The sequence below is a fragment of the Homo sapiens genome, chromosome 9 (genome assembly GCF_000001405.40).
Source record: "Homo sapiens chromosome 9, GRCh38.p14 Primary Assembly".
NCBI lineage: Eukaryota > Metazoa > Chordata > Mammalia > Primates > Hominidae > Homo > Homo sapiens.
In genome coordinates, this window is record NC_000009.12 from 7,536,524 (window position 1) to 7,553,919 (window position 17,396).

Sequence of the window (17,396 nt, forward strand, 5' to 3'; positions counted from 1 at the left end):
AGTGCCCTCTAGTGTTGGTGATGTGGATAACTTGGCTGATTGATCAGGGTGGCAGCAGGAGGCTCAGCGGCCCAACATACACTTTATGAGGCTTGCTGTCTTACTTCCCTTCACTTTATGATGTGGGGATAGTTTGCACAATTTGTGGGAGCCAGGTGTTCTCCTTCCTTTGCACAGCAGGAGCCAAAAGAGAATTTCAGGGGAACTTCTAACAAAACCATTTTTACTTGTTTCTGGCTGCTGAGTTTTGAGTCTGATGAACCTTCCATCCCTTCATTTAAGCTACAAGGCTCAGGCTATATGATTGGCTACTCACTTGTTTGTTTGTTTTCTGATGATGATTACCTAATGCTTCTTTGGGATTGGAGTTCCTGATTGTTTGAGTTGAGTGCAGCCAGGTGGCCAAGTGCACTGGCTCTCCCTGATCAAGTCAGCTGCAACTCAGTAATCCTCTCTCCACCCCTCACTCCTACCACCACCTTTTGTAAATGTCCTAAGGAATGCTGAGGAGCATTTCCCAGGTACACGCACAGCAATATTGTCAAACGGCACGTTTGCAACCCAGAAAATAACTCTAAGATTTATTGGTATACTTTTACATATATTTATTGATTGAATAGGAAAAAGCATGTGAATTTGGAACCTATTTTTTCTTTATTCTTTAAAAAATGGGAAACATGTGCAGAACATGCAGGTTTGTTACACAGGTATACCTGTGCCATGGTGGCTTGCTGCACCTATTGACTCATCCTCTAAGTTCCTTTACCTCACCCCCACCCCCAACAGGCCCTGGTGTGTGTTGTTCCCCTCTCTGTATCCATGTGTTCTCAATCTTCAACTCCCACTTATGAGTGAGGACATGCAGTGTTTGGTTTTTTTGTTCCTGTGTTAGTTTGCTGAGGATAATGACTTCCAGCTTCATCCATGTCCCTGCAAAGGACATGATCTTATTCCTTTTTATGGCTGCATAGTATTGCACGTTGTATATGTGCCACATTTTCCTTTTCCAGTCTATCATTGATGGGCATTTGGGTTGGTTCTGTGTTTTTGCTATTGTAGATAGTGCTGCAATAAACAAACATGTGCATGTGCCTTTTTAGTAGAATGATTTATATTCCTTTGCGTATATACCCAGTAATAAGATTGCTGGGTCAAGTGGTATTTCTAGTTCTAGATCCTTGAGGAATCTCCATACTGTCTTCCACAATGGTTGAACTAATTTACTCTCCCACCAACAGTGTAAAAGTATTCAGAACTTATATTCAAATCCTGACTCAACCACTCGCTTCCAAAGAGACCTTAGATTAGTTTTAATTTTTCAGAGTGCAAGTTTCCTCATTGGCAAAAAGAGGATATGACAAATACTTACATTGTAGGGTTGCTAAGATAATGAGTGAGAATATATAAAGTGCCTATTACAAAGACTGATACATCCTAGACACTCAATACTTTGATGCTAGCGTAATTATTATTAGATTAAGGGAAGGCCAGAGGAGGGAGGGGGCAAAGGCAGGGTGTTTGGATAAAGAGTAGCAGGACATGAGGTTGGGGTTGAGTCAGGGATGTATTCTGAAGGGCCTCAGAGGTTCTGGAAGGTTTGGATTTTAATTAGTAGAGATCAGATCTACTTAAGTCAGATTAGATTAGAGATAATAGAAAAGAGGTTGGTGACTTAGAAAGAAAAATCTGCTGTGCAGGAGGAAAATAAAGAGATGGCTATTAATTGAAAGACAATGACTTGACCAGGCAGTGGAATTGGATATATACGGGCAGCAGAGAACAGGATTCAAGAATGGGGATGCTGAACCCAGCCACCTGGGTTTTCCCAGCTCTGTCATTTTTAAACTATGTGACCTTTAGCAAGTTACTTAACCCCTCAATATCTCCATTTCTTTCTCTCTAAAATGGAGACAGTTGTAGTACCTTCCTCACAGAGTTGCAAAGCTCTTAAGGCAGGACCTGGAATATGATGAGCATTTTTTAGACAAAAACATAATTCATAGTAGAAAATCAGTTTCACTTGACCACAGATTGAGAGTGAAGATGGAGGCAGGAAGAATGGAAGACAGATCTGAGGCCCCATCTTGAGAAACTTGAGTGTATGCTGGTGCCATCAGCTGACATAGAAACAAGAGAAGAAATGAACTTGAGAGCTTACATAATCAGTCTGGAGCCTGGAAGAAGGTCGGGACTGGAGATATAATTTGGGAATTGCATCTAATCTTGGAATATAATGGGGGTGAATGAGCTCATCCAATAAAATTAGGTAGTTAGACAAGAAGAGTGTTATAGAAATTTGGGATACATTCATATTCTTCAGATGGTTTGAGATCTATGATTTGAATAAGAAGGGAGCTGAATGACAAGAAGAGAACCAACAAGCATTGGGGTGGTAAAAAGCCCAAAGTAGAGACAATTATGTCTAAGAGGGTGGTCATCAGGGTCAAAGGCCAAATAATTCTATGAATTTAACATTAAACAATTTACCTCCCCATAGGCCATGTCTCTAATGTTCCTGGTAATGAGCTCTGCCTTTCTGTCCCATGAATTTCCAGCTGCTTACATTTTCAGTCATGTAATGAGACCCAGACACATGCACACATCAACCATGCAGCAGAAAAAGAATGACTCCCACACATCCCAGCGCACGTGCACTCAGACACACACAGGAAAGCCTGACCTGGAAAATGAATTAGTTGAGCCAAGAGGGAACTTTTTGTCCATAAGTTGAACGCTAATGGTTTTCTGTAAGTTAATGAAAATGGTGCTAATCAGCTCCCCCGCCCCGCTTTCCAGACCTCACTCTTCCCCACTAAACCACAGAGTCTCGTGAATGGCCTTGTTTCTGTATTTCGGCCCCATGATGCATATAAGTCATCACTGAGGCATAGGCTCCATTAATTTAGCTTGCAGGGTTATCACTTATATTCTTAAAACCCAGACGAATGGATTGCAGAGTTGGCTTTCCCTCACCCTTGACTCACTAATGATGGGGTGAGCAGAATCTTGGGAACCTCTGGAGGGAAGGATCAGTCCACAGTCACTGAGGCCATCTCTCTGTTTCTGGGAAGGACCATCTCAAATGCCCCAAATAGAGAAATAGTCTAGGTTTCCAGAGAACAAACAACGTTTGATTCCATTCAGAAATAAAAAGCTTTCATTAAGCACTCACTACGAACATGCTCCTGAGCAAGTAGCTGAGGATGCTACCAGGTAGGATCCCTGTCTTCCAACTCACAGTGAGTTGGGGAAAAGAAAACTGATAACAAGCAGCATTGGAGAGAAAGAAAAAAGTGCTTTGGGGGGTTTGAAGAGGTGGAACAAATACGAAGTAATTGCCTCTATTTTCAGAATGCTAATGATATGAAAAGATTGAACATGGGAAAGTGATTACTATTGACTCTATAACATATTTCAGAGTTGCTTTTATTTTGGGTGGAAAAAAGTGAAAGTTGCAATATACAATGAGAAATAATGGCAAAGAGACTTTTTATCAGAGCAATTAGAAGAGGTGAGTTTGGTCATTAATTAACTTAACACATACGTATTATATGTGTGTGGTGCAGCAGGAACTCTACTAGGTGTTGGGAAGCAGCTGGCCTTGTTGGGAATGCCAGGCACTTGTCCACATTTCCTGGAAGTCCTTCTGTTCTGCAAAGTGAATGTAGGGGTGGTGAGGGGGACTGTGGAGAAAGGGATACATCCAGCTCTCTGTTGTTATCCCATCCTTACAGAACGCTTCTGAACCTTGATGGAATGGTTATTTTGCTGATACGTCAAGCATTTTCCTCTTCTCACTTCCACCATTAGTGTTGAAAACCCAAAGGGTGGGAATAAATTGTCCATTCCACAAGCCATTTGTAGAGATGTTTAGTTAATAGACAGAAAATGCACAGTAGTTAAATGTTAATTAATTCCTTTTTTGAGAAGCATATTCATTTTATGCTATTTATGAGGGTTGTCTTGTAAACAGATTCCTATTACTTTGGTTCAACCATTGAATTTTCTTTAGTCACTGATCCTAAGTGTTCATTAATTCCACTAGCTCTAGAGACTAAATTCTCACTGAACATTACTGCAAAATGCAAGTCAAAAGCAAGGGCTGTGTCTGTTTCGTCCTCTAAAAAATGCCCCCTAAGGAAGGCGAAGTGCTTGAGGGAGCTCCAAAGACAGGATTTGATGAAGATAATGATGATAATGATAATGTTAGGGTAATGGAGATGGCAGTGATGGTGATGGCAGTATTGGATTTATTCCCTGTTTGGATGCTGAATGAAGATGAGAACTGTGGTGTAACTTGTCTTTCCAGGTGTATTGAAGGCATTTTGCGTTTTTTAACAGGTGCACAAAAATATGTTCACTGGGGAGAGAGTTTGCTAGACATTCTAGCTTGGAAGGGCAGCTGAGGAATGAATGGACCAGACAGATTTATCCATCTGCCAGGAAAATGAAGTAAACCTGCAGCCAGTGCAGGGAAAGAATTTGAAGGTAACCTGGCTTGACTACAAATCCAAGGCCAGTTACGTGATTTTGGGTGATCATGTAAATTCTGTCTCCATCTCCTCATTTGTAAATGGGATATAATTTCCTACCTTTCAGGGCTGATTGTGAAGATTTAGCTGAGTTATGGGGTAGAGCTTCCACATAGCTTCTAATGCATAAATTAGTCTCAAAAAATATTGTTATCCTCCTCACCTTCCCCATGATCATCAGTTTGCTTACCTAGAAAATGGGATAATCATATGTGTATCACATGTGATAATGTATGCAAGAGCACTTTGTAAAACAGAATCTTATAATCTTGCAAGTATTAAGTATACCCTGGTAAAACATGGGCTATTAGGAGTAAGCAGAGTCTTTCAAAAGTCCTTAGAAATCTTTGGAGTTTTTCAAGTTTCTCCAACTTTGAATACAGATTCAATGTCAACGTCATCCTCCAGTGGAGAGCTATAGTCATTCTTTTGAATGGTGGGTCATGGGGAGGCTGGAAGGTGGAAGCAGAAGGTGAGATATTGAAATTGCCCCTTTGGAACTTGGTTCTGCCATCCTAGCTATGGAGGAAATGCCGATCCATCTGTAGCCAGTTGGGGAGAAAGAGCAAGAGACGGAAGCACTGCAGAAGAGCTGCCAGGAATTCATGAGGCTTTGCAAAGTTCATCTGTTTGATGATTGCCACAAATGGCAAAGAGAGCTGGGCCTCAGCTACAGAGAGGGAGGCTGACGGGGGATTGTCATTGCTAAGCCCTGGAATGTCTTTTGAGAATGGTTCTGAACTGGTCACTTCTCTTAATGGCTCAAGCGGGCCAACTGTGCAATGCCCACAGCTTCTACCAGCTCCTGCCAGCACCTACGCTGCCTGCCCATTTGTCCCTTAGCTAGAGCTGCATCATGGCAGCTCCCTCTGCAACCAGCAGACAGAAGGAGAGAGGTGAGGCCCTTCAGTGTGGCTTCAGGATGATCTGTCTACATTTGGTTTCCCCCTCAACCTGATCAGCATGCTAATAACTCCCTTCCTTCCTGCCAAAACTTTTTATTGAAAAATTAAACCATCTTGTCTTTATTTTAGATTGTAAACAGGCAAATTAATTTTATTGGTTAAACCACTCTGGAGGAAGAAGGGGGCTTTTTACCTTCCATGCCATGACATCATCTCATCTGTCACCTTTTAAAAGCCCTGTGTTTGAAATCAACCCTCTTGGCAGCCTCTGCACTGGGCGGTAGCAGCATTACAAAGAGAAGGGGGAAAAGGCCATAAAATGAACTGACTGTTGGAAATTTAGTGATATGGCTACAAAGAATCAGGCAGGAGAGCCAGACCTGTAACAGCTGCTCCAGTCTTAAGAGTCTCAGCTCTGGAGGCAGCCAGCTCCCAACACATCATACACTATGGCAGATGCCGACTGCAGCAGGAGCATTAGTGGTTATTAGAATGGGGATAAGGTTTGAAATTGTGTTTGGGCCAGTGTGTGAAGGAATGACTGTTCTCTTCCATTCAACCACTAGGGAAGTTAGAAACATCTAATCTAGGAAGGGGTGAGTTTCTTTCCTTAACTCTGCAAATGGTCTCTTCTCTCATATGATTCTCAGGTCCTTGGGCCTTGAAAAGTTTAATCAGCACACTTCTCTCCCTAGTATCTACTTCTACCATAGTCGAGGCTACCCTGTTTTCATTGCTAGGCTCCTATAGTCTTCTGATTGTCATGCTGTCTCGGGTCGAGATTCCTGAGAAAAAAACCATTGAGATGGAGATTTGTATGCAGAAAGATTACTGAGGACTGCTTCAGGAGTCACTAATGATGAGGAGTGAGGGTAGCAGGATCGGGCAGGAGGAGAACTGAAACTGTGATGCAGTTGCCATGAGACCTCAGCTGATCCCACAGGGAGCTCTGGAGCTCAGATAGCCCTTTAGAGCCACCTCAAATAAAGCCTTTGTAGCAATGCTGATTAGTCATCTGATGCCAGCTGTCTCCAGGGAGGGACATAGCCTCCCTGTGGCAGCTTCCTTACGCCAAGGGCTAGTCTCAAAAAGGGATTTAACTGTGAGTTGTCAGCAACCAACAGTTCTGTAGCTGGGGAGATGTGCCTCAGTCCTGAAGTGGGGACCTGGGATACACATCACGGTGTCTACTATCTACGCATCACGGTATCTACAAATGTGGACTGCTCCCCATTTGCTCTTGTGCCCTCACTGTCTGTTCTCTCTCCTGTATTCTGAATTATCTTTCCAAAATGCAGTTGAATATGCTTTCCTTCTGCTGATAAAGTCATCAATGATTTCTTATTGCCTCAAGGTAAAGATCCAAATCTTAAGAGCTTTGCAAGAACTGAATCAGTATGACTCTGCCTGGATTTCAGCCTCTTCTATCTCTATCTCTCTTAGTGTGTCTCTACACTTAGGCAAGGGCTACTGTGCATGCAGTTCTCACTCTCTGCCATGCCTTTCTCCCCCTCTCTCCCATGGTAGAGGTTTTCTTTTTCTTTTTCTTTTTGTCATCCAGTGTTCCACTCCTCTTCCTGGTTTTGGGAAATCCTATTATGTGACTCAAAAGGAGGGAAGCCTATCTCTTGGGCACCTGACCTAGGTTTGTACAGCTGGGAGTTTCCACTCCAGGCTTTGTATCTTGACTTAGTGACAAAAAGCCAAAGGGACAATGGGACTTAATTACTGACCTCAGCAGCCACATCATGGAGCAGGAGTGGCTATGTGCTTGGGAGCAAGTCCAGGAGAGTTTCTGCTGCCAGCTTCTCTTGATTCCTGACATTTTCTGAGTTTATTCCTCCCTCCGGTCTTCCTGTAATTTGGTGCATCACCCAGTATCTTCCTTATTCATTCCTATTTTGGTACACTTTTGCTTTATTATTCATATTTTTGACATCAACTCATGAATAACTTACTTAGGGAAGCTTTCAATGGTGCCCCTATCCAGTGTAGGTCAATTTCCCTCTCATATCACCAAGTTCTCTTCCTCCTGAACACTTATGTATCAGTTTGTAATCAAACATTAATGGAAGTGATTATTTGATTAATGTCTATCTTTCCAATTAAATTTTGAATCTTCTGAGAGCAAGACTGTGTTTATTTTTGTTCACCTTTTTTTCCACCTGTCTAGCACAGGGTCTAAAACTAATATCCAAGCACACATTTTGATTAAATAAAAGAATAATGACAGTCAATAGGAATTGGCTGGCTATAATTTTTTTAAAATGAGGAAGATATGAATATTGAGGAGAAAAGATGTATTATTTTCCTGGAGGACTGAGAAAGCACCATCTTTGTTAGGCACTGTCTTCATGCACTTGTCAATAATTTTCTGTGTTTCTTCTCTTTCTCCCTTTTGTGACCTGTCCTAATGACATAATTGATTGCCTCTCTTACACTCTGATCCTTATCACATTTTAGAAGGGCTGAAAAATTCCAGCTTCACATTTTTTGGATCTGGGTTTTCCCACTCTTTAGACACAACTTTGCTTTGCTTTCCTTCTTACCCTTAATTGAACCCTTTAAAGAACTACTGATGAAATCAATAGGCAGCCTATGCGTGGAACCAGATTCTTTTACAGAGACTTCATTAGATTGCCCTGGAGAACTGCAGTGACAAAGATACTCCTTCAGTAGAAAGAGCATTAAATGAGAGTAGCTCCTGATTGTTCCTTTTTTTTTGGGTTTCTACCAAGCCTCCCATTTCCAACTTCTGGGCTCAAACTTATTGTCCTTTCCATTTGATCCTTGCTAGGAGTTTGGTTTTCAGATGGCCTTGGGAGGTCTGAGGCCAGAGATGGATAAATGCTATAATGATAGCTGTCCATTACCACACAGCCACCAGGATGTTTGTGGGGAGGATGAGCAGGGTTGAGTTTCACAATCTGGAGGCCACTTCAAATAGCATGACCCAGCTTTCTCCCACATCAGAGCACACGGGCTTCCAATGTGTTCTCTTTGCACAGAACTCCTTGTTATCTCTGGTCCATGGGTCCAGGGCCAACTTGGAAAAGGGATCCACTGACTTCCTCTGTCAACCTCCCCACCTCTTCCCAGGGCCAAGATACCAACACCCAGAGCTAGTCCTTATGGTGGCATCAGTGAACAGGGAGATTATCCATAGGGAAAGGTAGTTTTTGCTCAAGAAGACAGCTTTCTCTTATCAGAAACCACTGGTCAAAGAGAAGGGAACAGAGGGAGTATCCGACGGGCTCCAGAGCTGTGTTAGGCAGTTTTACACAGGTTGTTACTGGATTCTCACATTATCCTTGACAAATAGGTAGAATTATGACTACTTTATAGATTAAAATATTGAGGTTCAGAAAGGGCAAGTGACCAGGCCACAATCACACAACGTTAAAGTAGCAGAGCAATGATTAAAATTGAAGATTGATTCAAAGTCTGGGCTTTTCCCATCCTTCCAAGTTGTCATGCTGAAAGGGCACTATGGAACACAGAATTCCTGTGCCTGCTAAGAACTCAGCCTGGAGGAGACTTCTGCTTGCATGCAGTGCTAATCTCTCTTATCTATGGATGCTGCTTGGCATTGGTCTGCTGGCACTGCTGCACCCCATATGTCTTGGGATGTCTATATTCAGAACATTTTTCTGGGTATCCTATTTTTGATTGGCATGGTATCTAAAGCAGACAGGATGGTGTTGTGAAAATTGAAGGGAGCTTGCTTAAGAGTTAGAAAGTCCAAGATTTAGATTCCAGTTCTGTCATTTACTAGTTGTGCGATTATGGGAAGTTGCTTTACTTCTCTAAGCTGCATCCTCAAAATGGAAATCCTATTACCTTTGTGGCAGAATTTACTTTGTAATAAAGTCACGCTTCCTTATTTTCTTTAAGTTAATTTATAATATATCAGATTCTAAGCTCCCTTTTACCTGGCGCATGAAAAAAGTTTTCCTCAGACATCATAAGGGCTTCCCCTGTTAGGGTTGCGTAAGACTTATGTGTGGAAGACATACATTTGTGGTATGTGCAAAATGGAGGATGGGATTGGAGGGTTGAGTAAGGATTCCTGTACCAGCTAGGTATTCATAAAACCACCAGTATGTTCTGTTCTGTGATAAATTGTGGCGGGGGCTGGGGGGAGAGGAGAAGAGAGAGAGAAAAACACAGAGTCAGTCCCTAAAGCTGAGGAGGCAGATAAAGTTACAATCAAGTGTGATGAATATTATTATAGGGGAAGCACATGGGGTAACTATACTAGTCTGGTGGGGAGGTGGTATCAAGAAAACTTCTTAGAGGAAATATCATTTCAGCCAAAAGCCTGATTACGTCAAAGCAAGGCAGCAGTGAGGAAGAGTGTTTCAGGCAGAGGGAACAGCATGTGCAAAAGACAAAGTATAGCCCTGTTTCAAGAACTGAAAGAGGTTCATTGAGACTGGCACAGACAGCCAGAGGGAGGGAGGCATGAGATGGAGTTGGGCAGTTGGGACCAAATAGTTTGTCTGGTGTGGTCTTGTTATCAAGGCTCACAGGCTTCCCTTGAAGGATTTACACAACAACCTTATCTAAAGGAAACATTTATAAAGCAGAAGGAAAAATGCCCCACATGAGATTAATTGTTATAATTCATGTATATATTTGTTTCTTTAAAATGTTTTTGAACACTTTGTGTCAGACACATTTCTGTAGGAATCATCTCATTTAAACATCACAGTGACTTAATGAAATAAGCACCATTATCATGCTTAATGTATAGAGCAGAAAGTTAAAGCTTAGTGAGGTCAAGTAACTTGCCCAAGATCATACTGTTCATAAATTATGAAACCCTAATTTAAATCTAGGTATTCTCATTCCAGAGCTCTCATTTTTACCTTCAAATTTTCAAATAGCTGATCACATAAGTTGCCTGTTAGCAGAAAGCAGGATCCTAGGAATGTATACAGAAGATAAACATGTTTTGATGGTGAGAGGAAGCTAGTTTTGGAGAGCTGTATTAGAGAAAAGTGAGTGCCTCTAAAAGGAGCAATTATGATACTGATATGTGTATGTGTGTGTGTGCACGCACATATATGTGCCAGGGTGAGGTGAGTGATATAGTAGGTTGAGATCCTCAACCAACATTTTTCAAACTGCTCTGCAAAGATTTCTAATCTCACATCTGTTAAGACATATTTTTATGAAAAAAAGAGGTCTGTAGTCAAGTAAGTCTAGAAGAATCTTGGAGAATAAGATTAAATTTCTTTACCGAAGAATTTCTCAGTTCGTTTAATATACTATGTAATATATGACACTTTAAGAGGGGATTAGCATTTTTCAAAGGTAATTAATACCAGCACCTATTATTATTTGCACATTTATTAAGTAATAATGCCATGGATAACACAGGTTGAGCATACTGTTCTAAACAATCTTTGTAAATTTTATGATTTCACATTAGTGAAATTGATTATAGTAGTTAGTACAGATGACCTTACATATCTTTGGGTTCCATATCCACAGATTCAACTAACAATGGATTGAAAATATAAAACAATATATATATTACATATATATATACATAAATATATATAACAATAAATATAGTATTACAACAATTTACATAGTATTTACATTGTATTAGGTATTATAAGTAATCTTGAGATGGTTTAAAGTATACAGGAGGATGTGCATAGGTTATATGCAAATACTGTACGATTTAAATCAGAGACTTGAACATCTACAGATTTTGCTATGAGGGCAGTGTGTCCTGGAACAAATCCCCTGCAGATACAGAGGGATGACCGTATAATTCTGTGAATAACTTTTGATAAACATCTTCTAGAGGGATATTTTCTTTGAGACACAGGGATATTTTTGTTGACTTGTTCATTTTAATAGGAAAGGATCTTTATTACTGCTTTAGGGCAATATTTGTGCCCTTATGCCAATCTGAGCCTAAGGGAAAAGCACTTGCTTCTCCAGATACATTTGAACGGTTGTAGATTAATCAGACCGTCACTATTTTATTACAATGTATTTGCAGAGGTGAATGAATTTGACACAGGAAGGCTCCAAATTAGACTTTAAATCCAGGATCCAGAACCTCTTGTCCCACAACATAAAGTCTTTTGTGTCAGAAAGGCTTATCCAGGTTGTAAAGTTGAACAGAATGAGGAGTGGAGTGAAAATCTGGCTTTTCGAATTAGCAACAGCACAGAATGGAAATACAAACAGAACAAGAGGGGAAGGAGAATTTACTGAATTGTAATTTCCTTTTAAAATGTGTTCGGAGGGGCCTTCACTTTTACCACAATGTTCATCCATTAAGCTTTCTCTTTTTAGCAGTAAGCATTGATTTGTGAAAAGAATGGCTCCTGCTGGAAGATGAGAAATTCGTTTAAAAAAGAAAACTCTATGTCTTCTAGTTTATGGTTTCTTTTTTAAAAAAATCAAAAAGAAGAAATTGCCAACTTAATTTTGCGTGTTTTCACTGGGATTTGTTTTTCAAATTCTTGGACTGTTTCCATTGATAGAAACAATTTCGATGCATATGGTTTGGCAGGGAAATAAGATTTTTTTGATCCCCAATAATTGTTTTCTTTAATGTTTCAAATTCAAAAACAAAACAAAACAAAAATTCCAAAAGATAAAAACTTGCTAAAGTTTGAATGTTTAACTCTTCTAAATTCATCCTTAAGAATCATGCCAATGATACGGAAACAACCTTCATATGATTTTCAAATGGATCAGAAGGAAGAACCTTCACCAAGTGGAGTAGAGTGCACCTGGTTCCATTTTTTGAGATAGGGGCACAGGTACATCTGTAGATACTTGTTCCCAGTGACTCAGGGTGGCTGTGGTAGGAAGGAGGAAATGCCTTAAAAGACACATAGTTCTTGTAAAATACAGGTAAAGAGAGCTACTCAGTCCACCTTGCCTCAATCAAACAGTAATCTTGTGACATAAGTGTTTCCATAATCTCCATTTTATAGGTGAGAAAACAGAGGCTCAGAGAGTTAAACTGACTTGTCCAAGTTCACAGATTGGGCAATAGAACTAACACTTAAATCGAACTGTATTAGGGTTCTCCAGAGAAACAGGACCAATAGAAAGTATATGTATAGAAAGAGATTTAGTACAAGAAATTGGCGAGGTGGCTGGCACGATCCATGGAGAGGAAGGAAGAGCAGTGTGGTGTGACAGCCCACCTGAGAGCCACACAGGGCAGGGAAGCCCCCACTCCCCAGCCAAGGGAGGCGGTGAGTGAATGTGCTACCCAGCCTGGGAAACGGTGCTTTTTCCATGGAACTGTGCAACCCATGAATCAGAAGATCCCACTCACGAACCCACATCACCAGGGCCTAGGGTTTCAACCCTGGAGCTGAGCAGATTCTCAACAGCCTCTCAGCTTCCTGCTTAAGCCTGCTGAGCTCCTGGGGGGAGGGGTGACCAGCACCACAGCTGTGGCTGCCTGCTGTCTAAGCCTTTTGAGCTCCTTGAGGGAGGGACAGCAGCCAGCTCTGGGACTCTTAACTGCCTAACACAGCTCCCTGGCTGGGGGAAGGGTGGCATCCATCTCCATAGCTCCAGGCTGTGCTTTTCCCCTGCTGGAGCCAGGGAGGCTGGACGTCTTGGCCCCTAGAGGTGTCCCCCACCATTCAAACACACGGGCTGTGGCAGACTGCAGGCAGAACATCTCTTCAGGCCTGACCCTGATCCATCCTTTCTCACTGGGTGGGGTTTCCCTGCAGGAACTCCAACAACTTCAGCCAGAGACTCAGGGACCCAACCCAGATCTTCCTGAGCCTGAGCCCCTAGTGAGAGGGGTGGCCGCAGTCTCTGCGGACCAGCAGACTTACCCTTTCTTCCTGGTAGTTCTGAGGAATCCAGGCAGCCCAGATGAGTGGGTTTCCCCCCAGCAAAGCACACCCCCTCCACCAAGGTGTCATCAAAGTGCTTTGTTAAATGGGTCCTCTTTTCTGTGCCACCCAACTGGGTGAGACCCTCCAACGGGGGTTGTGAGACACCCTATACAGGAGCGATCCTACTGGCATCAGTTTGGTGCCCCTCAAATTCAGAGATCCCAAAAGAAGAAGCAGGCACCCATCTTTCTTGTTCTCCAGCCTCCTGAAGTGACATCTCCAGGCACAGGAGGGAACCCCCTGCAAACCATGGCAGCCTTACAGAAGAGGGACCTGACGCATTGAAAGAAAAACAAAGTGACAACAATAGCATCAACAATAAAAAAAGTCCCCACAAAACTCCATCCAAGGGTCAGCAGCTTCAATGATTGAAATGAGACAAACTCAAGATGAGAACGAGTCAATGAAAAAACGCTGAAAACCCAAAAGGCCAGAGTGCCTCTTCCCCTCCAAATGATTGCAAAGCCTCTCCAGCAAGGACACAGAACTGGATGGAGGATGAGATGAATGAATTGACAGAAGTAGGCTTCAGAAGGTGGGTAATAAAATACTCTCCTGAGCTAAAGGAGCATGTTCTAACCCAATGCAAAGAACCTAAGACCTTGATAAAGGTTAGAGGAGCTGCTAACTAGAATAACCAGTTTGGAGAGGAACATAAATGACCTGATGGAGCTGAAAAACACAGCACGAGAACTTTGTGAAGTATACACAAGTATCAATAGCCAAATCCACCAAGCAGAAGAAAGGATATCAGAGTTTGAAGACTACCTTGCTGAATTAAGGCATGCAGACAAGATTAGAGGAAAAAGAATAAAAGAAATGAACAAAGCCTCCAAGAAATACGGGACTTCATAAAAAGACCGAACCTGTAATTGACTGGAGTACCTGAAGGAGATGAGGAGAATGAAAAGAAGCTGGAAAACGCACTTCAGGAGAACTTCCTCAACCTAGCAAGACAGGCCAACATTCAAATTCGGGAAATACAGAAAACACTGCTAAGATACTTCACGAGAGGATCAACCACAAGACACATAATCATCAGATTCTCCAAGGTCGAAATGAAGGAAAAAATGTTAAGGGCAGTCAGAAAGAAAGGCCAAGTCACCTACAATGGGAAGCCCATCAGACGAACAGTGGACCTCTCAGCAGAAAGCGAAAAACAAAAACAAAAACAAAACAAAACAAAAAAAACAGGGTTGCAATCCTAGTCTCTGACAAAATGGAATTTAAATGAACAAAGATCAAAAAAGACAAAGAAGGGCTTACGTAATGGTAAAGGGATCAATTCAACAAGAACTAACTATCCTAAATGTATACGCACCCAGTATAGGAGCACGCGGATTCATAAAACAAGTTCTTAGAGACATACACAGAGACTTAGACTCCCACACAGTAATAGTGGGAGACTTTAACACCCCAATGTCAATATTAGATCAATGAGACAAAAAATTAACAAGGATATTCAGGACTTGAACTCAGCTTTGGATCAGGTAGACTTGGTAGACAGCTACAGAACTCTCTACCCCAAATCACCAAAATATACATTCTTCTCAGTGCCACATGGCACTTATTCTAAAATCGACCACATAATTGGATTTAAAACACTCCTCAGCAGATGCAAAAAACTGAAATCATGACAGTCTCTCAGACCACAGTGCAATCAAATTAGAACTCAGGATTAAGAAACTAACTCAAACCACACAATTACATGGAAATTGAACAACTTGCTCCTGAATGATTCCATGGTAAATAATGAAATTAAGGCAGAAATCAGTAAGTTATTTGAAACCAATGAGAACAAAGAGACAATGTACCAGAATCTCTGGGACAGAGCTAAAGCAGTGTTAAGAGGGAAATTTACAGCACTAAAATACCCACATCAGAAACTAGAGAGATCTTAAACTGACACCCTAACATCACAATTAAAAGAGCTAGAAAGGCAAGAGCAAACTAATGCAAAAGCTGGCAGAAGATTAGAAATAACTCAGATAAGAACAGAATTGAAGGAGATAGAGACACAAAAAACTCTCCAAAAAAATCAATGAATCCAAGAGCCAGTTTATTGAAAAAAATTAACGAAACGGACCACCAGCTAGACTAATAAAAGAATCAAATAGAAACAATAAAAAATGATAAAGGGGATATCACAACTGACCCCACAGAAATACAAACTATCATCAGAGAACACTATAAATACTTCTATGCAAATAAACTAGAAAATCTAGAAGAAATGAATAAATTCCTGGACGCACACACCCTCCCAAGACTAAATCAGGAAGAAGTCGAATCCCTGAAGAGACCAACAACAAGTTCTGAAATTGAGGCAGTAATTAATAGCCTACCAACCAAAAAAAGCCCAGGACCAGACAGATTCACAGCCAAATTCTACCAGAAATACAAAGAGGAGCTAGTACCATTCCTCCTGAAACTATTCAAAACAATTGAAAATGAGGGACTCCTTTCTAACTCATTTTATGAAACCATCATCATCCTGATACCAAAAATGGGCACAGACAAAAAAAAAAATTTTGGGGCCAATATCCCTGATGGACATTGATGTGAAAATCCTCAATAAAATACTGGCAAACCAAATCCAGCAGCACATCGAAAAACTTATCTCCCATGATCAAGTCAGCTTCATTCCTGGATGCAAGGCTGGTTCAACATAGCAAATCAGTAAACGTAATACATCATATAAACAGAACCGAAGACAAAAACCACATGATTATCTCAATAGATGCCGTAAAGGCCTTTGATAAAATTCAAAATCTTTTCATGTTAAAAACTCTCAGTAAACTAGGTATTGATGGAACATATCTCAAAATAACAAGAGCTATTTATGACAAACCCACAATGGGCAAAAGCTGGAAGCATTCCCTTTGAAAACCAGTACAAGACAAGGATGCCCTCTTTCACCACTCCTATTCAACATAGTGGTTCAACCTGGAGGTTCTGGCCAGGACAATTAGGCAAGAGAAAGAAAAAAAGGTATTCAAATGGGAAGAGAGGAAGTCAAATTATCTCTATTTGCAGATGACATGACTTTGTATTTAGAAAACCCCAACATCTCAGCCCCAAAACTTCTTAAGCTGATAAGCAACTTCAGCAAAGTTTCAGGATACAGAATCAATGTGCAAAAATCACAAGCATTCCTTTACACGGACAACAGACAAGCAGAGAGCCAAATCATGAATAAACTCCCATTCACAATTGCTACAAAGAATAAAATACCTAGGAATACAGTTATCAAGGGAAGTGGAGGACCTCTTCAAGAAGGACTACAAACCACTGCTCAAGGAAATAAGATAGAACACAAACAAATGGAAAAAAATTGCATCCTCATGGATAGGAAGAATCAATATCGTGAAAATGGCCATATTGCCCAAAATAGTGTAAAGATTCGCTGCTACTCCCATCAAACTACCACTGACATTCTTCACAGAATTAGCAAAAACTACTTTAAATTTCATATGGAATCACAGAAGACACTGTATAGCCAAGACAATTTTAAGCAAAAGACAAAACAAACAAAAAACAAAGCTGGGGGCATCACTCTCTCTGACTTCAAACTATGCTACAAGGCTACAGCAAGCAAAGCAGCATGCCCAGCATGATACTGGTACCAAAAAAGACATATAGACCAATGGAACAGGACAGAGACCTCAGAAACAACGCCACACATCTACAACCATCTGATCTTCAGCAAACCTGACAACAATGAGCAATGGGGAAAGGATCTCCTATTTAATAAATGGTGCTGGGAAAACTGGCTAGCCATATGCACAAAACTGAAATTGGACCCCTTCCTTATACCTTATACAAATATTATTAACTCAAGATGGATTAAAGACTTAAATGTAAAACCCCAAACCATAAAAACCCTAGAAGAAAACCTAGACAATACAATTCAGGACATAGGCATGGGCAAAGATTTCATGACAAAACCACCAAAAGCAATTGCAACAAACGCAAAAGTTGATAAATGGGATCTAACTAAACTAAAGAGCTTCTGTACAGCAAAAGATACTATCATTAGAATGAACAGGCAACCTACAGAA

The 17,396-nt window shown here is 41.0% G+C and overlaps 1 pseudogene, besides 1 other annotated feature; it reads left to right on the top strand.

Moving 5' to 3' along the window:
* The first annotated feature begins 4,127 nt into the window (after window positions 1–4,127).
* The window catches only part of PPIAP33 (peptidylprolyl isomerase A pseudogene 33), a 57,933-nt pseudogene continuing 44,664 nt past the window's right edge, over window positions 4,128–17,396 (top strand).
* Window positions 12,433–13,028: an enhancer, noted in NCBI's record as "NANOG-H3K27ac-H3K4me1 hESC enhancer chr9:7548956-7549551 (GRCh37/hg19 assembly coordinates)". NCBI's record gives its function as "activates a minimal SCP1, AML or CMV promoter by ChIP-STARR-seq in naive H9 embryonic stem cells {active_cell/tissue: H9 hESC(naive)}" and the evidence as "EXISTENCE:reporter gene assay evidence [ECO:0000049][PMID:30033119]".